The 25,564-nt window shown below is 44.9% G+C and overlaps 2 long non-coding RNA genes across 2 annotated transcripts in view; one reads left to right on the forward strand and one right to left on the reverse strand.

Moving 5' to 3' along the window:
• Positions 1 to 25,189, reverse strand: part of LINC03041 (long intergenic non-protein coding RNA 3041) — a 72,379-nt gene extending 47,190 nt beyond the window's left edge. The window contains exon 1 of the long non-coding RNA NR_171034.1: positions 25,107 to 25,189. This is a non-coding gene — a long non-coding RNA (long intergenic non-protein coding RNA 3041). The remainder of the gene's footprint in view (positions 1 to 25,106) is intronic.
• Positions 16,339 to 22,310, forward strand: LOC124902124 (uncharacterized). Its single transcript, XR_007061424.1, has 2 exons — positions 16,339 to 16,506; positions 22,115 to 22,310. It is a non-coding gene; the product is annotated as an uncharacterized LOC124902124 (long non-coding RNA).
• Positions 25,190 to 25,564: the final 375 nt, after the last annotated feature.

Raw genomic sequence — 25,564 nt, forward strand, 5'->3', positions numbered from 1 at the left:
AGAAACATAATAAAATATTTTGGGAAGAATTTTAGTAAGCATGATTGAAACAAAAATGAAAAGATCTAATAAATCTTCTGTTAGCCAGAATATTCTCTACCTCTTATAATTCTGGTTGGTTGAAGTTTTCTTATACCCTCAGGGTTTGTCATAACCCATTCAAAGTATTGCCTAGCAAGTCTTTATGGGGGCTGCTCCAACGTTTGAGTGGTGCATACTTCCACTTCTGGTATACACCCAAAAGAACTGGAAATGAGGGCTGGAATGAATATTTATACACAAGCACATAAAAAGATGCTCAGATTCACTAATCATTAGGGAAATGCAAATCGAAACCACAATGAGATACCACCTCACATCCATTAGGATGGCTACTAACAACAGTAGAAAAGCCAGCTGAAAATATCAAGTGTTGGTGAGGATGTAGAGACACTGGAACCCTTCTGCACAGTTAGTGGAAATGTAAAATGGTGCAACTGCTATGGAAAACAGTATGAAGCCTCCTCAAAAAATGAGAAATAGAATTACCGTGTGATCTGGAAATTCTACTTCTTGGTATATGCCCAAAACAACTGAAGGCAGAGTCTGGAGGAAATATTTATAGACCCATGTTCATAGCAGCATTATGCACAATAACCGAAAGGTGAAAGCAACCCAAGTGTTCATAGATGGCTGAATGGATAAACAAAATATGGTATATACATACGAGAGAATACTATGCAGCCTTAAAAAAGAATGGTACATGCTACAACATGGATGAACCTTGAAGACACAATATGAAATGAAATAAGTCAGGCACAAAGAGAACAATATTGTGTGATTTCATTTACATGAGGTACCTGGAGTAGTTAAATTCATAGAAACAGAACGTAGAACATAGAATAGAGGTTACCAAAGGCTGGAGGGATACAGGGACCAGCACCTGGAAGGAGTTGTTGAATGAGTAGAGTTTCAGTATGGAAAGATGGAAAAGGTCTAGAGATGGATGGTGGTGATAATTGCCCAATGATGTGAATGTACTTAATGCCATTGAATTGTACACCCAAAAATGCTAAATTTGTTATTTATATTTTACCACAGTAAAAAAGCTTAAATAGAAAAAGAATAGGTGCACGCAGAATGCTACTTGCATGGATATAAGGAATGATCACAGTAATCTCTTCTCTCCACAGCCTTAAGACCTTTCACTTTCCTGGCTTGTTTATGCCACAGAGGATGCTCAGCCCCATGGTCTCCGTTGTCATCATCCAATAAGGAGTGTGTAAGTGGCACTGCTGTAACCACATGCACTTTACAAAAATAATATTTCATCCTTACCATTGGTACTGTCTGTGGCTGCACGCTGAATGGGAATCATTTCAGAAGGTTCCAGCTGGCCTTCCTCAAAAGATAAAGAAAATCCTCTAAAGGATGATTTTTCTGGGATCTACTAAGAAGAGCATAATGAATGTTGTAGAACAAACCAACTTAAAAAGTTGGTGGTGGGGGGTAGATATTGCCGACTTGCAGAAATTCCCTCTACCCCCTTTATACCAAAGGAGCCATATCTTCATCTCATAATAAATGCAAACTTGGAAAGGCTCACAAGCCCGCCTGCCTCTTCAGCTAACGACAGCTTCAATTATGAGGCCTAATCCTGCATTCCTGACACTCCCCTTATCCCTGCATAACTTCCAGGGGAGTCAAAGGGCCCTCCGCCCTGGACCTGGTGAGGGAGACATTAGTTATGCAGGAGCAGTGCCTGGAGCTTGCTGGCAAATTTAAGGGTCTGTTCCTATAACTGCACACACTTGGAAGCCTTAAATCCTCATACTTTGACTCTTCACCTTATGCTGAAATAAAAAGCCACAGTAACTCCATTAAAACGTATAAAATTCCTCTACAGGAAATGAGTACTAGTTTGCTTCCAACTTACATTGGTTTTAGGTTTCTTCTTCCCAACCCCTTTTTACTTTTAATGTTGGTGTTCAATTCCATGGAAAATATTTTCTATAAGGGAAAAAAAATAAACACAAGCATCATGCAGGGTCTTTGCATTTTATTTACTAAACTGGGCAAAACATCTTTGATTTGCTGGCTCTTACTCCCTGGTAAATCAGTGGGAATTCCTCACAAATACAAGGTTGGCTTAAGTCACCCTATGGGGACACCCAGTGACCTCTGGCTTATTGAGAAGTGACCTTGTTTTATATACTAATCATCCACCCAGCTATATTAGTAACGAGACTATAACTCATTTTCATCCTAGGCACACACTGTGCATTATCAGTCTCCTAATTAATCCCAGACTATTCAGGGGGCAGGTATTCTTAGTTCTGATTTTCCTCACTGCTCCTCAAGCCAGAGAGTCAGAGAGTCGGCAAACAGAGGGTCGTGCTCTGTGTCCCTGAGGCATGTCCTTATGTCCCAGCCCAGAGCTCACTTCACCCCCAACACCCTCCCTCTGGACTGGGGAAGCCCTGGGAACGAGCACACCTCTGCTGATCTCTGAGGCAGTGGTGCTTCCTCAGGGGAGAAGGAACCTGGGGTCAGCAGATATCCTGCAAGCCTGCTTAATGGACAAAGTCAACAGCAGCTTCCCCACAGGCAGAAAATAAATTCAAAGCATTGGTAGACAGCAAGCAGGCTGGGCTCTGTGCTCTGGGCAGCTCAGACTCCCACACGTTTGCCTCAAACCCTCATCGCATTCACCTTTGTCTCCGGGGATGCAGAGGAGTGGCTCCAGCCTCCCCTCCCCACCTCTCTGAAGAGACAAAAACACGTAACACATTGCTAGGCATCAGTTCCAAAACACTGAGCTGGTATTAGCTCCTTTTCAAAAAGGAAGACACAAGCAGTTGTACATTTTCCATCATTTAATTGCTTATTTTTAACGTCCCCAGTTAAAAGGGAAAAGGGGCACCTATAATATCCAAGCTCTCAGCTTGAATGCGTGATCTCATTTTATCTTCACACAACTCCATGAGGTAAGTACTATGAGTCCCATGTTACAGATGAGGAAACTTAGAAGCTACATATCTTGCCCAGTATCACACAACCGGTGGGTAGATGAGCTAGGCTTTCAATCCAGGCCTGCCTGAGCACAAAGCCCATCTTGTCCTGTAGAACTCCATTTAAGGCTCTATGCCAGATGAGAATCTGAGGGTTCGTGTGCTTGAAAACGTGTTCGTCTATGAGTGTCTAGTATTGCTAAATGGAGTATAATTGCTTCTGCTTTATTTCTTTGTAAAAATCACCATAAATCACGCCCCAGCTTCCCTTTCTCCCCAGGTTTTGAAATCTGGCAAGGTGAATATTAAACCATGAGCACTGGCATCTATAAACACTTTCAAAGGAGGACCAGTTCTTTTCAGCACTTGGGCCCTCCAACGCTGGGAAACCTTCCCTTGTTGGGTTTAAAGGAGCACTAGGCTTAGGGTCAGGAGCTCTGTGTTCAATTTCTAACCTCCGCAAGCCTTGGTTTTCTCCTCTTTGTAATGGAGATAATAATACTTATATTGCTGCTGTCTTTGCAGGGTGGTTGTGAAATGATAGTCCTCAGCCTCCTTTCTAAGCTTCTATTCTAATCAGTCAGTACGTTTTGGAAGGCCTCAGTAAAGCAGTCTTGACCATCTCTCTTCTTACTCCATCTCCCTAGGCAATTCTTGTCCACCCCAGTAGTGAGGATGTCAGCATTCCACCCAGCTGCCCTGGGATCTCTTTTTAGGCTTTCTCTGCCTCACCCCTCACCAGCTGTGGTGTGCTTTCAGCTGCACCTGCGGCCGTTGGAGGAGGAAGAGGTGGAGGAAGGTTGCCCTCAGGGATTGCCCAGGAGTTTGCACAGCCCCTCCCAGTGAGGTTCCTTTGCAATAGTTGGGGAAGCTGTGGCTTATTCACCAGAGCCCCAGAGAGATCGGGCTAAAGCCTGTCCTCTGCAGGACTTACCCCTTGATAATACCTTACCCTGAGATAACCCTGTGCTCAGCTTCTTCCCTTCGCCTGCTCCACTCCCCACTCCCTGACCAGTCTCCCAGGGGAACACAGCCTTAATAAGTAACTTGTACATGACCCCTCATCTCAGGGTGTTTCTAAGGACCTCCTCCAAAAAAAATAATGGTTTCTGTTACACCTATTCCAGGCTTCTCTGAGCTCCAGATCCAAGAATCGAAATTGCTCCTCAACATCTTTCATATTTCTCAATGGCAGCCTCAAGATCAAACACCCAAAACAGAACTCGTGATCTTTCCACGTACCCAGTGCCTTCCAGTGTTCCCCAGCTCAGTGACCCCCCTCCCTCCCGTCCCCTCTCATCCATCTTTCAAGGTGGAATTCTAGGAATCTCTCAAGGCTTTCTCACCTTTCAACCTGGCTTCCTCCTCCCCAATTCCATACAAACCATCTTCAAGCTCCTATCATTTTCATCCCCCAAATAAACCTAAAATCTATAAAATTCCCTCCTTCAACTTCTACCACCACCCTGTCCAAGCCACCATCTGGAGATGCTCATAATTCCCTCTAACAGGTTTACACAACTCTCTTTCAGTTTCCAACATTAGTGATCGTTCCAACCTACTCATACCAATTCCCTACACAAAGCTCTTTAGGAGATTTTTAATGCTCCTCAGTTAAGCCCAGAAAACTCAGTGAGGCCCAGCAGGCTGTGCATGGTGCCAACCTCACCATTCTTTGCACTCCAGCCCCAGGCACTTGCCTCCTTCGGTTCTTTTGACCAGAATGCTTTCCCTCTCCTCTTCCTTTTCATTCTTCCTGGCCTTCTACTCAGCTCAAGTATCGCCTTCTCACCTCCCTGCCTAAGATGAATTCCCTATTTAAGATTCCTGTAATACCATGGACACCTTCTTCTTAAGACCTGCCACAGGTGCAAGAAGTTGCAGTCAAATGATTACCAACATGCACCTGTGTGGTCACGTGGCTTAGCAACCCAGGTACAAGTGCTTTGAGAACAAGGGCTGCATGGGGTTTTTTTTTTTTTTTTTTTGGTCACTTTATCCTCAGTAGCACCCAGCAGGCACTCGGTGAACTGCATCATGACAAAACTTAGAAACTGCAGCACCACGTGGAGGATTTTAGGATGAGTCTTTCCCTCAATACAAGCAGGGGCAGTGTCTCTTCTGTCACTGAGCTATTGCTATTGCTGCTCTGCCTCAGGCTGGTATGACCCAGAGAATCAGAGGATTACGCTATCAAATGACGAGTTATTCTCTCTGAAGACAGAAAGACATGAAACACATTGTAGGCTTCAGTTCCAAAACACTGAGCTGGTATTAGCTCCTTTTTAAAAAGGAAGACACAAACAATTGCACATTTTCAACCATCTAACTGCTTGTTTTTCAATGATCCCAGTTAAAAAGGGAAAGGGGCAACTGTGGAGCACCTACAACAGCCAAACTCTCAACCTAAATGCATGATCTCATTTTATCCTTACAGCAACTCCATGAGGTCAGTACCATGAGTCCCATGTTATAGACGAGGAAACTGAGAAGCTATGTATCTTGCCAAATATCACACCACTAGTGAGGAGATCAGCTAGGCTTTTCAATCTGGGCCTGTCTGAGCATAAATCCCATCTTCTTGTCCTGTAGAACTCCTTTTAGGCTCTACTAGAGACAAAAATCTGGGGGTTTGTGTGCTTGAAAACGTGTTCATCTGTGAATATCCAGTATTCCTAAATTAAGTATAATTGCTTCTGCTTTATTTCTTTGTAAAAATCACTATAAAAGCTTTTCTCTTGATCCAATAGATATTGTATTTTGAAAGAGTGTGATTCAAAGTAGAGACCATGAGTTCGTGTACGACAAGGACCAGGTAGTATTTATTTTGTGTATGCCCTGAAGCTAGTAGGTGCTCAATAAACATTTGTGAAAGGAAATTCAACTTCTCTCTTACTGAACTACTGCGTTAACATGAAATGTTAGAGATTTGTGGTTCCATTTATATTCTTCTCTCAGCACTCAAGACCAAGAGTTTGATTTGTTTTGTGAAAATTAAATAATATATTTGGAAGCACAATAGTGACATTTTTCTCTTTAATTGCTGCATGACTCAATCACAATATTGCAGAGTGTGGGAATGGAAAGGAATCCATTTCAAGGAGGGCTGGTCCTTTTTAGCAGGGAAGCTCATCCACGCACCTTCGTGTTTTACCCCATTCACTACACAGAATCTGTAGAGCCCAAGGTAAGCAATATACCTGAAACCGATTCTTTGTCTAGGACTTCCTAGCAGGCCACAAGCAGTGACCATAGCCTCAGTCTCCCTGTGACAAGAGAGGCTCTATGTTTGGAAAGAAAAAGGGTGTCCTTCCCAGCTCCTCCAGGAATCAGTGTTATATGTGTTCTATGCTTTATACGTCTTTGTTGCCAGGCTTGTCTTGTTGAAGTTTGCCTTGATTTGACAACCGTTACAGCCTAGTCAGGTTGAAGAGAACAGAAGAGAAATATGAAATTCTGAGCCTCGGAAAAGGCTCTTGATAACGTCATTCAGGGCCAGCATTTTGGCCACACTGTATGCTCTAAACAATGCCTTTACACATTAACTTTAGGACTGAAGCCTACTGCCCTTGTTCTAGAATGTTCTGTCCCAGATCTTTCCTCCTCCTGGTTCAGATCTCAACTCAATGCCATTTACCCTGACCACCAGTAGGGGCAGGGCTTTGCACAGCTATGCATTTGTTCCCAAGCTCTCATCAATCTCTGAAATTACCTTGTTTATTTTTCTGTTTATTTATCTCTTTCCCCTACAAAAGAATGTCAACCATGCAAGGGCAGAGGGATCTGTCTTTACTCCTCCCTCCCTGGACCTACAACAAGCCTGGCACGTTAAAAGCACTCAAGATTACTTGTCGTATTGGTGAATGAGTAATGATTTCATCTGAGCATCACAGTCCGTTTTAGAGCAAGGGAATGCTCACCTTCGTTTTAGAGAAGAGGCACCTATATCTCTGTGACCCTCAGCGGTTAGCCTGAAATCACAGGCAGGTCTGTAGCAGAGTCGTGACTTGAACCCAGGTCTTCTGTCTATGATCTGGGAAGGAGAGTGAACTTCTGCCCAAAACTTAGGTCATGCAGGTACTCTTAAAAACAAGAGCCCCATCAAAGATGATCAAATGCCAGCTGCTTTGGGTATAAAGGCCTGATTCAACCCTGAATCTGTTCCCCATACCAGAGATGAAAACTCGTCTACAAGATGAACGTACAGATGCGGCCCAAGACTGCTTCCTGCACAAGCTTCTGCGCCTGTGCACCGGGACCCGTACTCATCCCTCCCTAGCCTTGGCCTCGGGCCGCGCTGGACTCTGGGTCCCTCATTCCAGGAGGCTCTGGCCTGGCTCTAGACTTTCCGTAATTTTTCTGATGTCCTAATTTCTTGATCACCTGTGCTGACAAGATCCTGATTTCCTTCAATATGTCTTTTTTCCACTCTCGGGAAATTTATGTCTGCTTCGGCATATGTCCCCATCTTCCTTTGTGAAAAGAGAGGCAAGGAGCGGGAGTGGGGGAGAGCCCTTTAATATTTTTTAGCTATGTCTTCATGTTCTGTCAATAAATTGCCTCTGCCAGCTTTTAGAGGCCCTATTGGCTTTTGTACTGACCTCTTGTTCCTTCTGCACTTGAAAAATGCCTTATTATTTATCTTAACCTCTCTCGCAATCTTCTTTTCATTCCTCACCTTTGCTTTCCTTATCATGTTTTTGCACTTTCTTAACTTCGCGCTATAATTTCTCTAGCTGAGTCGCTGTTTGATTTTTTTCATACTTTCTCACTTTCCTAGTTTTGATTACTTCCCCTACCACTACCACATCCTCTTTAGAGCTATTTGTCTGGCCTATTCTCTACACTTGGTGTATTTGTTGCTAGGTAGCACGTATTTTCTTTGGGCAGTTTCTATTCATTTCTCTCTGATTACACTCTTCCATCGGCGGCTGTTCTTTTCAATCTCTTCGTGCCCTTGGCTTTTCTTGGTAGGAGCTGACTACTTTATTTGATCTGGGATCTCCTGCATGTCCTTCAAAGAGGGTCCTAATGCCCGCTGAGCCTTATATGGGGTATGTATTCATTTGCTAGAGTTGCCCTAACAAAATACCACAGACTAAGTGGTATAAACAACTTATTTTTTCACAGTTCTGGAGTTTGGAAGTCCAAGATCCAGGTGCCATCAGGGTTGGTCTCCTTCGAGGTCCCTCTCCTTGGCTTTTGGAAGGTCACCCTGTTGCTGCCTCTTCACATGGACTTTTCTTTATGTGAGCACATTCCTTGTGTCTCTTTTTATGTCCAAATTTCCTCTTGTTATAAGGACACCAGTTAGATTACATCAGGGCCCACCCTAATGGCCTCATTTTTAACTTAATCATCTCTTTAAAGGCTCTAGCTCCAAACACAGTCGCATTCTGAGACACTGGGAGTTAGGGCTTCAACATGTATATTTAAGGAGACATAACTCAGCCCATAACAGAATAAGCAGTAACTCCTGACATTCGACCATGGGTCAAGAGCAAGCTAGGTGCCTCTGTTTACATGTCACCCAAGTTTCCCCGGGTCAGACTGCCTGTGGGTACAAGTGGAATCGCCTTACAGTAATATTCTACAGATACTGGCAGGCCCTCAAGCCCTACCAAATACTTTTCTACATAGTTCAGTGAATCTCAGAGAGTGAATCCCACTAACAAGACAGTCAGATGAGAATGGTATCCTCTGGACTCCTCAGCCAATGTCTACCTTCTGGATGTGACCACTTGGCACTAGTACTGATGCTGGGCACCGCTGCCACTTCTGCTGAGTATTGTCATTGGCTGGCACCACCTCCTAGGTGCTGCCAGACACCTGCACTGCCATGGCGCAGACTGCAGTTCTTAAGATCCCAAAGCCACACCATGAAGGTAGAAGGTAGGAGCCTTTTTACCTTCCATACTGTTCTTTGTCCTCAGGTGCCAAGATGGTGATGCCCTATGCCACACGTTTTCTAGATCTTTCAGTGAAGCACCCTGATTTGTTTTAACTTCCAGCTCCCCTTTCTTAGTATTCAGACGGGAGTCCATGCAGCTTGAGACAGGTACACTCAGACACTGTCTGCTTCTCTGCCATTGAGGTGACATATATCTGCCAATTTTATCATCCATTAGAATGAGTTCTCCCACGTGTCTCCTTGGTACCTCCTGCAAGAAGACTTGGGGTAAACGCACCTAGCTATGTCTATCAGCTATGGACTGAATGTTTGTGCATCTACCCCAAATTCATATGCTGAAATCTTAACCCTCGATGTTGATGGTATTAGGAGGTGGGGCCCTTGGGAGGTAATTAAGTCATGAGGATGGAACCCTCATAAATGGGATTAGTGCTCTTATAAAAAAGACATGAGAGCACTTGTTTTTCTCCCTCTAGTCTCCTCTGTGTTAGGATAAATGAGAAGATGGCCAGCTGCAAACCAAGAAGCAGGCCCTCACCAGACATTGGATCTGTCAGCACCTTGATTGCTCTGGAACTGTGAGAAATAAGCCACTCAGTCTATGGTACTTTTGTTAGAGCAGCCCAGACTAAGACACTATTCTATAGTGGTCACAGTTTAGGACCTTCTGCATACATATGGAATTTGGACACAAGTTGAGTCCAGTTCTGACATCTGTAAAATCTCTGTTCTCAGTCTTCCACTGAAATAGCATACTGAGTATGCCTCTCTTCCACCATAGGAAGCTGCAGGTAACAGACAATTACAGTGAATTGAAAATTGAGAATGAAGATGATGGCAGAAATAACCAGGATAATCAAAGTTTATTCAGCCTTACAGGTGCCTGATGCTATGCTATTTTCCGGAATTGCAATGGTAAACATGAATACATATGATTAAAGTGTTTACCCTTATTTTAGGATTTAAATTGTGATGAAGGATAAATTAAGATAAATTTTTATAATATTTTCGGTGGTAAGATAAAGGTTTGTACAATTGCAGCACAGAGAGCCAAAAGTCTATCCTGGACACTTATGGCAGATACCCTGTGTTTCCAGAGTGCTCACATGAGTACATGCACCTTAGTAAATATGCCAGTCATCACCCCCCCATCCACGCCCACTCACACCTTGAAAGGTGACATTCACCCGGGTGTGTTGGCTAATGCCTGTAATCCCAGCACTTTGGGAGGCCGAGGTGTGCACATTGCTTGAGCCCAGGAGTTCAAGACCAGCCTGAACAACATGATGAAACTCCATCTCTACAAAAAATACAAAACAATTATCCAGGCGTGGCGGCAGGCACCTGTGGTCCCAGCTACCTGGGAGGCTGAGGTGTGAGGATTACCTGAGCCTGGGAAATCCAGACTGCAGTGAGCCAAGATTGCACCACTGCACTCCAGCCCGGGTGACAGAACGAGACCCTGTCTCAAAAAAAAAAAAAAAAAAAGAAAGGTGACATTATATACAACCTGCACTTTCCCCTTCTGGCTCCAGGCACCAGTTTACCAATCAGATATCAATGACTTAATCAGAGCCAACTGGGTTCTCTGTCCTGAGAAGTAGAACACTGAGGGATAGAGTCAGGTGTGCCCACAGGATGATAGGCACTTTACCTGAAAGGTCATAGGAAATTGGTCCTGAAGCTGATGCCAGAGCAAGCCACAAATGCCTATGAGGCAAAGATATGGGATTCCTAGGCCACATGTAACCAGGGAAGAATGGACCTCAGGAAGACGGGAAGTGGACAGAGACACAGAGCTTGGAGGATGGAAGTCCTTGTGCCTCTGTCAGGAATTGACACTGGATCATGGTTTCCTGGGTCCAGTCCCCATGGCAACCCACAGCACTTCTTTCCTCTTACTTTCTGGTAAGAGTCTCTGTTGTACTTCTGTAGTAATGCTCCTCATAACTTCAGCTAGTTTAACTGAACTTTTTTTCTCTGCAACCAGAGCCTTCATTATAATAGTCTTGTGGTTACTCAACTACAGTCTTTGGTACAATTTTTCCTTCTTTACCGTGCTCAGTCTTTATTAACCAGCCTCAGTGTCACCTCCTCTCTGAAGCCTTCCCTGACAGCTCTCTCCCTTATGATCCTTCAGGATTCTGTTCATAATCATTGTATTGCAGTGTCATTTATCTGTTTATAAACATTTCACTCCCAGACCACAAGATCCTCAGAGGCAGAGCTCTGGTACCTACAAGGCATTCGGTGAATGTTTGCGGAATTGCCTTAGTGGCTCTGAGTTGGTTCTGAAAGCAGCCCGCCAGTCGGTACGCCATCCTATCTGCTGCTCAACCTTCCAGCCACTTGAGCGGCTCAGAGTTTACACGGACTTCACTGCCTCACCCCTTTAGTCTCAGTTCTGTCTTTTCTCAGTCCTCCTGGTGTCCAGGCTTGCTTGCTTGCTTGCTGGGTCCCCCTGCTCTGTGCAAACTTGACTACCTTTGGATCAGTGACAATTCCAAGGCGACCCCCCTGGGGCAGGGCACAATCTGTTTCCCAGGGTTCTAGAACTCTTTGCTGAGTTTTGGCTCCTCTTAATGGCTTCGTGTGGTTGCCTGGGGCCCATGCTACCTGTGTGTCTGCTCGTGACAGCATCCTCCACCCGATCCAGCCATCTGTTTATTTTGGCTGCATCTCCGTTTTTATGTTCCCTCTTCTGAGAAATAGTGAATGGTAGCTACTCTCTTTAATCAGCCAGAGGCCCTCACTACCTTGTCCATCAGAGAAAAATTGACTCCAGATCTGTAGCAGCTTTCTTGCATGGGAGAAAACACCAGTGCTCGTTTGCTCAGGAAAAACAACAACAACAACAAAAGCCTCTTGCTCTGCTGAGACAATTTTCCTTTATGGATTGCAGGGCCCCCATAGCAAGCCCACCGGGTTTTCCTGCCAACTGCCACTATATATCCAAGCTGCTGACTCACCCCCTGTCAGCCTGGGGCAGGGGGTGGCGATTGGAGCGTTTCACAGCCTCAGGATGTTTATTTGCTTTACTTTCTGTTCTCGGATAGGGAAGGTTTTGCAAGAGGGGTTTCTGCCAGTGCACCTGCTGTGCTATCCTCAGTACTGATAGGTGTGTGATCGCCTGGGAGAGCAGGGGCTGAGACACACTGGGGTTCTGACAATTTTGCCCTCACCTCGCGACACCTTTCTGACCTCTGCTTTCGGGAGGGGAGGAAAAAAAAGACAGAGAGACAGATTCGAGTTCAGCCTTGAGAATTTCAAGATGGACTCTCTTGCCTCTCTCTCTGAACCCCACCTCTCATGTAGATAGATAGCTCAGGCTTTTTACAGATGCTGTGACCTTCATGTTGATTGTTCTGGAAATAGAGTAAGAACTTCTGGCTAAAATATTGCCCGCTGGCTTCACGTGCCCAGGCTGTTTCTGGTCCCCGCGGGGGTCAATGCTGTATGTCCGGCTGGATACTAGTCTGCTCAGGATGGGCCAGTCTGTGGAAAGGCTCCTTCTTGCTTGAGATAAAAGAAACAGCACTCCTCCGCCAGGCAATACTTCAGACTCTCTCTTCAGCCTCTGGCTGTGGGGCAGGACATGGACCGAGAAATGAAGACAGCCTCCAGCCAGGGCTGAGAGCCCTGAGTGACAAGCAGGGGAGCGGACAGTGCCTGTCTTGACTTTCTTCCTCTCCATGGCTTGCTTCTTTCTCCATTAGGAGATCTCAGCACATCAAAATATTAGCTAAGAAGATACTTTAATCTGAGAACAAAGTGACACCTATTTAAACTAACATCAATAAAGACAGCTAGAAGGTTTTTGCACTTGACCATAAATGATACCCAAAAGCTGTTCTAAGAAAACCCGATTTTGTGATTTGGGGCAGCCTAAAAGTATGTGTAATAAAAGAGAAAGAGCACTTAACCAGAGTCGGGAGCCTCAGTTTCTAATGCTAGACTCATTACTAACGATGTCACTTTGGGCAAATCATTCTATTTCTCTGGCTTCATTAGTGACCTCAGTGGGAGCAGCTTTAGCAGAAAAACTGACATCATAATTGCCAAATCCATAGGCTAATTTTCATTCCTCATCCTCCTTGACAACTCCGCCGCATTTGGCACTCTTGACTGCTCTTTTCCTTCTCGAGACCATCTCTGCTCTTGGCTTCTGGGACCCAGCCTCTGTGAATTCTTCTCCCCACTCTCTCCCAGCCCTTCGCACTCTCTTTCTCTATCCCCCATAATCCCCCAACCCAGCACCGCCTGTCCATTGCCTGGCAGTGTTCCCCAAAGCTGTCTCTTTGCCCCTCTTCTCCTCACACATCTGTCTCATATGTAATCCTGTCCACTCCCATGGATCCAGCCACCATCACTTTGCCGGTAACTGCCATATCTCTTTTTCAGAACTCTCCCTACCTCTTTCCCGAATGCAGACGGGCCTTTCCAGTGGCCCAGAAGATGCCCCGTCTACATTGCACATTGAGCACTTCAAACTCAGTCTGCCCTTGACCGAGCTCATCGTCTCTGGCATGTGTCCTACTCAGCCCTTAAACCTGAATCCTTGGGGTGGGCCGATTCTGCCGTCTACATTTCAGTCAGTTTCAGGAGCTACACTGTCTTTCAGGCTTCACTCTCCCTAACAAGATGTTGCTGCCAAGTCTACCTGAGAGCTGTTCCTCACCTCTTCATGCCACTGGCTGCTGTAGTTCAGGGACTCAGGGGCTGTCACCTGGACCTATGAAACAGTACCAGAAAGAGTTAAGAATGGGTTCAGCTGATGTAACAGAAAGCTGAACTTGCCGTGGCTTAACCACATAGAGTCTGATTTTTTCCTCACACAATAAGAAATCCAGATGTAGGAGATCCAGAGCCAATATGGCAGCCCCACAATGCCTCCAGAGACCCCGCATGCCTCCTATCTTTCCAATCAGCCTCTCTTGCCGTATGGCTATCCTCAGTTTGCTTGTCACCTCATGGTGGCAAAATGGTTGCGCTTCTTTCAAATCCACATTCCAGGTTAGAAGAAAGCGAAGGGCAAGGGGAAAAAAGCAGCTTGCCTCCTGAATCTGACCCCTTTCAAAGGGCTCTCCTGGGAGCTCCGCCCAGGGAAATGTCACTTGACATTTCATTGGCCAGAACTGTGTTGTCTGACCTCTCCCTCTGCAAGGAAGGTTGGGAATGGTAGTGGGGATTTTCTTTCTTTTGTTTTCTTTCGCATGCAGCACACATTGCCTCTCTGAATAAAACTGAGGTTCTGTCAGGAAGGAAGAAAATGAGAACTGATACTGAATAAGCAGATAACTGTGTCTGCAACAGCCTGGTCTTGGTCCCCCAGCCATCAAACTCTTCCCCTACTTCTGTACCCTCCATGTCCCTAAAAAGGGATTGGACCATATCGTTCCCCTATTCTAACTCTCTGTGTTGATTCCTTGTTGGCTACAGAATAAAGAACAAACACCACAGCCCACACAACCTGGGTCCCATCTTCTTTTCTATGCTCTCCTCTTGCCATCACCCTCTCCCCTGAGAACACAAAATAGGTCCCACAGAAATCTCCACGGTTTCCTCTGCCCACAATGCTGTGCCTTTCCACACGCTAGTGCCCTATTGCCTTTCCCATCGGTGGCCATTTATTCAGCCCTCATTGCTGGGGAGGGAAGAGGCATCTATCAACTCGGATTTCTTCCTTAACCCTTAGGAGACAGACCTTCCTCACACTTCTGAGTCCTCCCCATTCCCTGTGGGCTCCACTCCATGGGACAAGGTGCTCAGCTTGAGAAGACAGAGCCCAGCCTTAAGTGAGTCATGTTTCCTAGAGAGTGGGGTCACTGAGTTGAAAGAGAACACAATTCCCCAAGCATGGTGTATTCCACTTCTGGCTCTCTCAGAGAAGCCCTGGATCATCCCCATTACTATTATTTCACAGCTGCTCCCTTGAGTAAAGTGCCCTTGAGTGGGACATCCGTCATCTAGGGCAGCAGCCTGTCTTGACCAGTTCACGCCACTTCCGTAATTCGTCCATGCAGTTGCTTCAGGAAGTTGGCTCAGAATCTTCTCAAAAGACTTGGAAGTCTGTCTTGTCTCTCTGTGGACAGCCTGAGCATAGGGTCCCAGCACTGCCCTCATGGAAGTTAGGGTCCCCAGGCCTAAGGCATGGATGTGAATTTTTACCAGAGCTTTGCACTGTGGTATAAGCCTTTGCCAGTCATCTAATGAAATCAGTGTTGAGTTTTTCATACAGCTAGGGATTCTTGTGTGGAGACAGTGGTGTGCTGATCAGTGTTTAACAACTGGTTCCGGGGGCAGGGGTAGCTGTAGAAGAAGAGCTCTGGCTTGTAGAGTTTGCCAATTTCTGTGGTGTAAATACTCCCACCATGGCTAAATTCAAGCTACCAATGCGATAGAACTGAAAATGCAGTAGGAAAGAGTTAGGCATGACTGGCTCGCTGGGCCAGTTTGACCTGGCTCCAGTGCAATAGCAGGAGACCCCACCAGGGGAAAAGGATGTGGATTCAAGTCTAAGCACCAAAGCCATACCCAGAACTCTGTGACCACCTCCTTAGCAACATCTTCTCTAAACCTACCTCCATCCTTCAAATGGATCCTTCTTTCCCCTGCGATTACCCAACTCTGTGATGATTCTTCTCCCACAGCAGTGTTTTAAAAAATCTTCTTTTGGGCGAACGAGTTCACTTTTCCTCAGTATATATGCCATCAATCATTGATGCCACAAACAGGCAGTGAAAGCCTTTCGTGAGCAATGCCCTATTGAATCCTGAGGAAGCCGCCACACCTTGGGTCACCACTAGGAGTCACTCTTTAGCACTGGGAATAGACAGACTCAATAGCGCTTAGCACATAGTAGGGCTAAATGCCCATGTGTCGAACGCATGGAGGAACTACCAAATGTGGGTTAGATGCCCCCTCTTGGGGGTCCCATAAACCTTTGTAGCATCATGTGGTAGGGTGTCTTGTGAGTAGGTATGATGTGCCCTATCTCTAGGTCATTCACCTTAGTATTCGGAAACCTAGTACAGTGCCCAACACGAAGGAGCTACTCAGTAGACATCTGCAGAATGAGTGATGGAGGAGAACATGCAGTACTTTAAAATATTCCCTAAGGAGGTTTAGTTTCATTTCTTTTTTTCACTTTCTTCTTTTGTTACTATTACTATTTTCCCACAAAATTCCTGCTTTCAACATGATGATACCCAAAGAAAAAGAGAGAGAGAAAAGAGTTCAATGAATTGCAGCTTCCAGCTGGTTATTATTATTATTTAAATTTTGGCTGTATCTTTGTGGGCAACTGAAGCCTATGATTTAAGCTATCTCTAGCTGAGCAAGGGGCTGTGCCCGCCCAACCACTCGTATTTCCAGAATGCACTTTGCTGTGTCAATACACATTACTTGTCACATTGCCATGAGTCTGAGAAGTTTGATCTCTGCTCTTAGATTGTTGTCATGTGTCAAATCATACAGCCCAGGGGGAATGACTACATTGCGCAGGAAAAACAGACATCGAGCCGTGGTCAGACCACCTCAAAGATAAACACTGCTGTGTGGACCAGAAGAAGAAAGGTCGAAAAACAATCTGAAGCCTCAGACACTGTAAGGCTTTTTCACTTTCATTTTCTTGCCACTCTGAGGCTTCCATTTTATCAGCGTGTGCAAATATACATTTTTCTTCCAACTGACCTTCCAACAGCTTGTGCCACAATACGGGACTAGCTTGAGTAAGTGGCCCTGTCATTGGTTAAATGGGGTGGTATCTACGATACCCTCAACTGGAAGCTGAGTCTACAAGCCCCCACCCACTGTCCCCTGCAAGATGAAAGCTCAGGAAAGATGTAAAAAATATAACTAAACTCAGGGAAGAAAAGTCCACTTCAGGGAGTATGAGCTACCCAAGCAGAAAGGCTGAAATCACTGTTTGCTGCTGCTGCTGCTGGTGGGTTTTCTATTTTTTGAAGTCGGCTAAAAACAAACAAACAAATGAGTACTAGTTGTTCTCATTAAAAAAGGAAAGGGCAGAAGTCATCTCCCTGTTTAAAGACGCCCACACACTTGAAATAGTTTCCTAGAAAGGCAGATAGAATTTAACTGGGTGTAGCTTAGCACACTCGCAGAGCATTTTTACACCTCCCAAATCCTCAATGGCTGATCCCGTGGTATGACAGCAGCATGCCACATTCATTGCACCAGACAAGGATTAGGGAGTAAAATTTGTCATGTATGTAAATTGTAATCACAGTGGATGGTTGTATGTGCTCATTTAGGCATTTTAACAGAGTGTGATGCTATCCTCTCCGCAGGACTAATAAGCATTAGCCATAATGAGGTCAGTCAGTCAGGCATTATCAGGGGATTTAATTGGGACATGGGTCTCTGCTGAAGTGAAAATTAATAACTTTTGTCAATGTTCTGGTGAAATGTTCTGTCTTATCAAACTATGAGGGTCAATTAGAAAGCATTATGTAATAAAGTCCCCAGCAGCAGAACTCAAATTGAGTTATACCACAGTCATTATTCCAGGGCGAATGCATTTGAAAATGGAAAACCAGAGTGCCATATGGAGGATTTGGGTCAGATTTACAAGCATTGCATGTTAAGGCTTCCACAAGAAGGAAACAATTAAACGTAATACCGAAATAAATCAGCGCGCCGAGTGGGCTGTGCAGGGCCAGGAGCCTGGGGCGGGTCGTGGCCCTGGAGTTGTGACACTGCAAAATGGCAGTGTCAGGAGCCTTCCATGGGCTGCATCAGGCAGCGCCAGCCTGCAAATCGCTCAGAGTGCTTAAAATCTGGGGCACACCTGGAAGGCTCGGGCCTGCACACTGACTCATATAAATAACTCTTTATTGTGTAGCTATTAAGACGAGAGATTGCTTTTATTAAAGTGCAAGTTATTGTGGCACAGCAAATTAAAGAATTTTAAAGCATACTAAACAGCCACTGCTATTCCCTATTCGGTCATGTTTTACGGTTCTTTAAATGGGCAGTATATTGTTAGGGAGATATAAAGCCTGTGCCAAGACTGGGATCTGACACAACGGTTCAGGCACTTTTTCTGGCCAGGAAGGATTGGGAGGGGTGGAACAGTGCTGGTGAGGACACTGTCCTGGGCCTGGATGTGTGTGTAGAGGTGGGTGTGGGGTGGGGGGTTGGATGTCCCCTCTCCTCTGGAAGACTGGGGAGGTGGCTCTTGTCTGCTCCATTCTGGTAAAGAAGGTTATCTTCAAACAGAGAAGAGTTTTAGAGATAGTCTTCAGACAAGGTAGTTAGAAGATGGAAGAAAGGGAGGAAGGAAGAGAGGGAGGGAAGGAGGCGTATGCGCAGAGGATCTGTAGTGTCCCATTACTAAAGAATCACAGCTTCCTCCAACTTCCTTATCTTGACCAACCCCATTTTCTCTGAACCTTCTCTTCTCTAGTGAAGTGAGCTTGCATCTGATTATTTCCCCATTTACCCCCAATGTTGATTATGTTTCTAATTAAAAATACATTGCGGCAATGCCCCTTCTTGGTTCCACATCATCTTGGGACCTAGCCCGTCCCCTCCCTCTCACCTCCATGACTGCCTCTCCAACCTGAGCCCCGTCACCTCCCGTGAGGCCCGACAGTTGCAGTTTTCGCTTTAGCCCCCTCCTACCCATTCTCTTCACAACAGTCGCAGTAATCTTTAAAAAACACAGATCTGATCATGTCACTCTCTACTGAAAAATTCTTTAACGCCTTCCACTTGCACAAAGGATAAAACTCAAATCCTTTCGATGGTCCACAGAGCGCCTCCCTGAAGTGTCAGGGCTCACCTGGAGGCATGCTTCCCTCTCACATAATTCCCCCAAGTTCTAGAACATATGAAGCTCTTGTTCTACCCAGAGGTTTTGCCCAGGCAGTTCTCTGAGACTGGAATCGTCTTCCTCCTGACCATGTGTGGCTGGTGCCTCTCAAGCTTAGGTATTCATTCTCTGGGAGGCCTTTCCCGACCATTCTACCTAAAATAGATCCATCCAGAGCTCTGTATCCTCACCCCATGGGTGTTTCTACAATAGTACTTACAGTTTCTAATTTTAAAACAAACCAGACAACAATAGCAAAAACAAAAAACTTTTTAGCGGCCTACTCCTTTTTTCTCTGACATCTTCCGTGGTCTGAAATTCTGTGACGTGCCTGTTTTGTTTTCTACTGAATCTAGTAATGGAGGCAAATAGCAGATTATGTGTTCAGTGAGTGAACAACTTATTGAATTAGGAAGTTGCCTTAGAAGAGAATCTGAAGCTTATCTAACTCAACTTCTTTACTTTACTGAGAAAGTGTTTCTGAGAATGGTGAGATAACATGTACAAGGAAGACCATTAGGAGAGTTGGGGGCTAGGGCCTGGTTTACCTTCAAAATGTTACTTTCTGGCAGGACACGCAGTGGCTCATGCCTGTAATCTGAGCACTTTGGGAGGCCGAAGCAGGCAGATCACCTGAGGTCAGGAGTTTGAGACCAGCCTGGCCAAAATGGTGAAACTCCATCTCTATACTATTAATTAAAATACCACCACCACCACCACCACCAACAACAAAAACTAGCCGGGCGTGGTGGTGCATGCCTATAATCCCAGTTACTCAGAAGGCTAAGGCAGGACAATCTCTTGAAGCCGGGAGGCAGAGGTTACACTGAGCCAAGGTCCCTCTACTGCACTCTAGCCTGGGCGACAGAGCGAGACTCCGCCTCAAAAAAAAAAAAAAAAATGTTAGTTTCTTACTTCCTTTGCCCAGTCACCTAGTCCTGTTTAACCACACCTTGGCTTTACCTCTACGGGAATAAACACTACTGTAATGGACTGAATGTTTCTGCCCTTGAAATTCATATGCTGAAATTCTAACCCCCAACATGATGGCATTAGCAGGTGGGGCCTTCGGGAGGTGATTAGGTCTGAGCAGGGAGCCCTCGTGAGTAGGATTAATGCCCTCAGAAAAGGGAGCCCACGAGTTCACTCACCCCCTTTCTGCCATGTGAGGACACACTGAGAAGTCAGCAGTCTGCAAGTGGAAGAGGGCCCTCACCAGAACTCGGCCATGCCGACACCCCCTTCTCAGACCTGCAGCCTCCAAAACTGTGAGAAATATGTTTCTGTGATATAAACCAAAGATTATATCTTTGGTATTTTGTTACAGCAGCCTGAACTAAGACAAGCACCCTAAATCCTACAGTGAAAGCATGTTTAAAATAAATGCAAAGACTAAAGCTGTGCTATCAAGAAGAGAAGAGACGATTGATTTCTGGTATATTCATAAATGGAATACAATGGAATGAGAATGAATGAACCAAACCTAGAGGCATAGAAACTGTCAAATCACAAACACATAACGTTGGCTAAAAACAGCAAGTCCCAAAAGAATACATACCTGGTGATGGCATTTATATGGAGTTTAAAAGATAAGCAGGACTAAGTGATATATGGTTAGTGGATATGTGGTCAAACTGTGATACAAAATAGGAATAAAGAATATTGTTTTAAAAAATAAAAGCACCATTCAGATAGTGGTTCCTTGCCATGTATTCAGGTGATGGGAAGGGAAGGGCCCAGCGTGAGGAAGAGACCCTGGATGGAGTGGAGGGTGATGATGTTATTTATCGTTAACTGGGTGGAAGTTTCATGGCTCTCCATTTACTTCTCATGCTTCATAGTTTGTAAGTTTATATTTAGAAAATAATTGATAAGTTGAAAAAAAACTAAAACCAACATGATTTCACCTTTGCCCAAATACAACCCGTCTTGGGAAGAAGAGCTTCTTCCCCCTTCTTCACGGAGGCCTCAAAGAGCTTCACCCCAGCTGCCCATTCACTTTTCCTATTTCTGCTGAGGGAAGACCAATACTTATTTTCATCTTCAGGTCTACCAAATGAGAAACTGAGGCATAGTATGAGGTGAGTCTCTGGAACCCAGAACAACTCTCAAGGGGCGAATGCTCCTTTATATCTCAGTGGATTCATTCGCTCATGACATTTACATATAATGACTACCTGCAGAAAAGGCCTAACGAAATAGTGTCAGTTTCTAAGGCAGGCAACCGTGTCAAAAGCCCGATCATCTTTGTGCCCAGGCTTTTGTTCTCTGACTGTGCTGGGGACAACCACATAAGCCACGTATCCTGATACTACTCTGCATGTGTTCATTTCTGAGTCTCTTAGGAGACTCTGTCACATACATGACCTCATTTGATTCTCCCCATGACACGGTGTGGAAGACACACAGCAGATATTTTAGTTCTCGTTTCAAGAATGCTGTTTCCTATATATTTTGATGCCTTTCTTCCAGCTGTCGACACCCATTTAATGCTGACAGAATAGAATCCCTGCAGCCCATTCCTGAGCCAGGTCAACACTGTACAAAAAACAGTATTTGGAAGATGACTTTGGGGGCATTGGGCAGGGCCCCCAAGCAAAAATAACCTCCTTACTGGTCCTTCCACTATTAGCAAACTATTCTTTGCTATCGTCAAGGCTTTTTCACCTTTTACAATCCCTTATTAAAATGCAAATACTCCTGAGTGTATCCGCATTAAAAAAAAAAAAAAAAAACAACCCTGAATGATCTTCATTAACTGAAAGTGGGTGGGAGATGGAAGCCGGCACCAGGGCAGGAGTGGGCACCAGTGAAGGGAAGGGGAATGAATGAAGAAGGAAGAGGAGACAAAGAAGCCCAAAGGCAAATCATGCCAACATCACCGTTTGGTACAGGGCGTCCTTGCCCTATTTTTCTGCCCAACCTCATTTACTGCACGCTCTCACCTGACTTCAGCCCCTAGACTTGCTACTGGCACAGGGTGGCCTGAGATGGCCAGTCGATGTCCCTCTGATGGTTTGCCACATGCTGATGTTCCCATCCTTGAGCAATTCTGCTCTGTTCGTGGCGGGAGTTCCCACTCTAAGGGTTTCCGGATCATTTGTGTTGCTAGTCTCCCTGGGCCACACTTCTGTTTCGGGAGAGAGTTTTTGCACTGGGCTCCTTCTGACGCGTCAGGCTGAAAAGTGAATTTGAGCCAAGAGTTCTGTTGTTTCATTTCAGTTATTTATGAGAAGCTGGTATTTTCTGCTCACAAAGAAAATATGAAATTTCAAAACCTAAACATTATCAAGCTATTAGGATACTGGTGAGAAAATAGAAATTGCAAAGTATTTCTCAAACAGTCTGAGTAATTTTCCTTCACTATTTTTTCCCCAGGAGTAATAACAAATAGAAATACTACTTGTCTTTTGGAATCTTTTTTTGCTGAAAAGTGTGAAGCGATTCCAGAGATATTCTGAACAGAGGGACCCCATCAGCATGCAGTCCTATAGGAGAATGCAACCTGTCTGCACCTTCTTCCCAAGGGGGCCAGTGAATGAATGAACGAAAGAATAAATGAATGAACAAACCATTCAGCTACACACACTTAATTTTACAGAGCAAATGCCTACTAGTCATGCGTTACTATCCTAGCTTGAGGCCCAATTATTTCTCTATCTAAATAATGTGGGTGTTTTCCTTGATCATAAATGAAACGTGCTCATTATAAAATGCTTAGAAGATACAGAAAAGTATAAAGAAGAAAATAAAAGTCATCCATAATCCTACCCCACAAAAAAGTCTTATTAATATTGAGGTTTATATCATACACGTGTTCCTCTGAGCTCATAAACATTACATGGCTGAGATCTTGTGTATATACAACTGGTATCTGTATTAGACAGAATTCTAAGATGATCCCGGAATCCACATGGCTTTACGTAATCCCTTCCCCCTTGAATGTGGGCAGGTGGGACCTGTGACTATTATGGGCCATCGCTTTCATGATTTGGTTATGTTCCATGGCAAGACTTTAAGGGTGGGAGATGATCCTGGGTTGGTCTGGCCTGTTCAGGTGAGTCTTGACAGAGATTAGGCTTTTCCTGGAGACAGATACGAAGCATGAGAGGGACTTGAAACAAGGGAGAGTCTCCTTTGGTGACTGTGAAGATAGAGAGCCCAACATGGCAAAGAATGCTAGAAGCCTCCAGAACCTGAGAGCAACCCCTAGTTGACACCCAGCAAGGAAAATAGGGACCTTGGGCCTGCAACCACAGGAACTCAATCCTACCAAAAATATGAATGAGCTTGAAAGAAGACCCCAGCTCTAGATGAGAACACAGCCTGGCCAACACCTTAATTTTGGTCTTATGAGACCCTGGGCAGAAAACCCAAACAAGACTGCTGGGGTTTTGGACCTACAGAACCATGAGATAGTAAATGGGTGTTGCCGTAAGTGGCTAAACTTACAATAATTTGTTATGCAGCAATAGAAAATAATATAGTGTTCTATTTTTTCACTTTACATTACAACTTGAACTTTGTCTCCTATTAATGTTAACTAAAAATTTAATGTCTATGTCTAATATATGTGTTTGGATTATAATCAATGTAATGAGTCTGAATGATTGGGCATTTAAATGTAGCCATTATTTGTGTTAGGGATTTGTTATTTGGAAGTTGTGTTGTTTTGTTATTTGTGTTTGTTTTGACTCCTGTGGTCACATGAAAGAAAGATGAAACATCTTTCTCAACAACTGCTGTGCTATAACCCCTGAGAGAGAGAGAAAATGTACTTCTGAAAGGTTATTTTGCTTATTTAAAGGAGATTATGGTACTTTGTGAGAGAGCTTTGTGTTTCAAAAACAGAGGCCCTTGACACCTATAGACTACATCGTCCAAGGAAGAGGATGAATGATGTGGGCTGCAGACGTTTAACAGATGGGCTCCTCCCTGGCTAAATGACTCCCCAAGACTGGGGAAAGAAATAAGACTTGAACTGTGACCTATGGTGGAGATATGGCCCTATCTGAGCCCGATGCTCTGGGTGACCTCAGATGGGCACTGCTACGTGGCTGTCTATGTGGCTGACACCACACACTATGGCTAGAGAGGTTCTGCCAACCCAGCTGGGGTAGAGGAATTCAGAGTTCTTCTCACCACCCTTGGCTAGTGTCAACTTCTATCAGATTTCATTTCACTTTAGAAAATATGGAAATGTGGCATTTCATACATTCCTGGGATGTGGAACGTTCCTACCTGTTTCGTAAGTAGTACTATGATATATAATTCTACAGAAATATGTCACCATTTTTATCATTATTTTAATAGATTTCTAGCAATAGGTCAAAAGATATACACATTTTAAGGTTCTTTATATAAATGATAAAATTAGCAGATTCCTAGACCTGTAAGCAAAAGTATATATAAGACGCTAGATTCATCATAAAGTCTCCCTTTGGCCTCTGCCCCCAAACCATCCCAACATACCAACTCCTAAACATCCAAGGCCCACGGGAGCACATCCAGGCACTGGCTGGGCCCTCATCAAGGAAACCAGCAGTGTGCAGGCTACACTGCATAACTGCGGGGACAGGCAGGGCCTGGACACATACACACCAGCTCCACCACCCACAGTTTGGGTGAGCTTGTGTAGTTACTTCCTGGGGCTCCCATACAAAGTATCACAGGCTAAGTGGCTTCAACAACAAACATATATTGTCTCATGGTTCTGGAAGCTAAAAGTTCGCTATCAGGCTGTTGGCAGGGTTGGCTCTTTCTGAGGACTGTGGGGGAAGGATCTCGTCTAGGCCTCCCTCCTAGAAATCGCTGGCATTCCTTGGCTTACAGATGGCTGTCCTTCCTCTTCTCCCTGAGTCTTCACATGGTCTTCCCTCTGTGTCCAAATCTCCCTGGTTTTTCTACCAGTCATATTGGATCAGGACCCATCCTAATGACTCCTTCCTAACTTGATCATCCACAAAGACCCTTTTTCCAAATAACGTCACATTCACAGGTGGGGAAGGTTAGGATTTCAACACATTTCTTGGGGTCAGGGACACAATTCAATCCATAATACCTTGGCAAGTCTCCTATACTCTCTAACGCACTGTTTCCAGATCACGTCAACAGGGATGACACTGCCTTTCCCACTGCGAGGATTCAATTTAGATGACAAGTGAAAAGATAGGTCAATGATAGGTAGAGCATTGACCCAGTGTCTGGCCCATGGTTGTTGTTCAATAAACATTGGCTAAGTTATCAATGAAAATTCTTGCTATAAGTATCTCATGACACACACGTGGGATACACAGAAACCCATGCTCAACTGGGCAGGCACGTGTGTTTATGTGGCTCCCCAGTGTCCCTAGAGAAGATTCTCTCTTACTTTTCAGGTGTCTTTGGCCTTTTCCTCTTCCAGCCTCTACAAGCAGGTTGTTTGCCCAGACACAGACCTCTCTCCCACAAAGCCCACTTTGGAGATTGGCGCCCGCCTTCTGCTGCTAGTTAGTTGTTTGAAAAGTGCTGACGCTTCTCTTCATCCACCGTGCCAGGACTCCGTGCCAAAGCCGCCCACACAAGCAAGGCTCGCCCTGCATGCCAGGGTTTCAGAAAGTGGACCTGGCACCAACCAAGCGTAGAAAGAGAGGCCCTTGTGATACAGCCTCCCGACACACTCACACACACACACATACCAGCCAGAGACCAGAGACCCCAATCAGTACTTTTAAAAGGAATAAAAATTGCTCAATCTCTTTGATGATATTCAAAGAGTCTTTTTTAATATATGAAGAAGCACATTCTAAATTCTTAACACATCTGGTGTCACCCGCTCTTTTCCCCCTC

The sequence above is a fragment of the Homo sapiens genome, chromosome 9, assembly GCF_000001405.40.
Source record: "Homo sapiens chromosome 9, GRCh38.p14 Primary Assembly".
Classification (NCBI taxonomy): domain Eukaryota; kingdom Metazoa; phylum Chordata; class Mammalia; order Primates; family Hominidae; genus Homo; species Homo sapiens.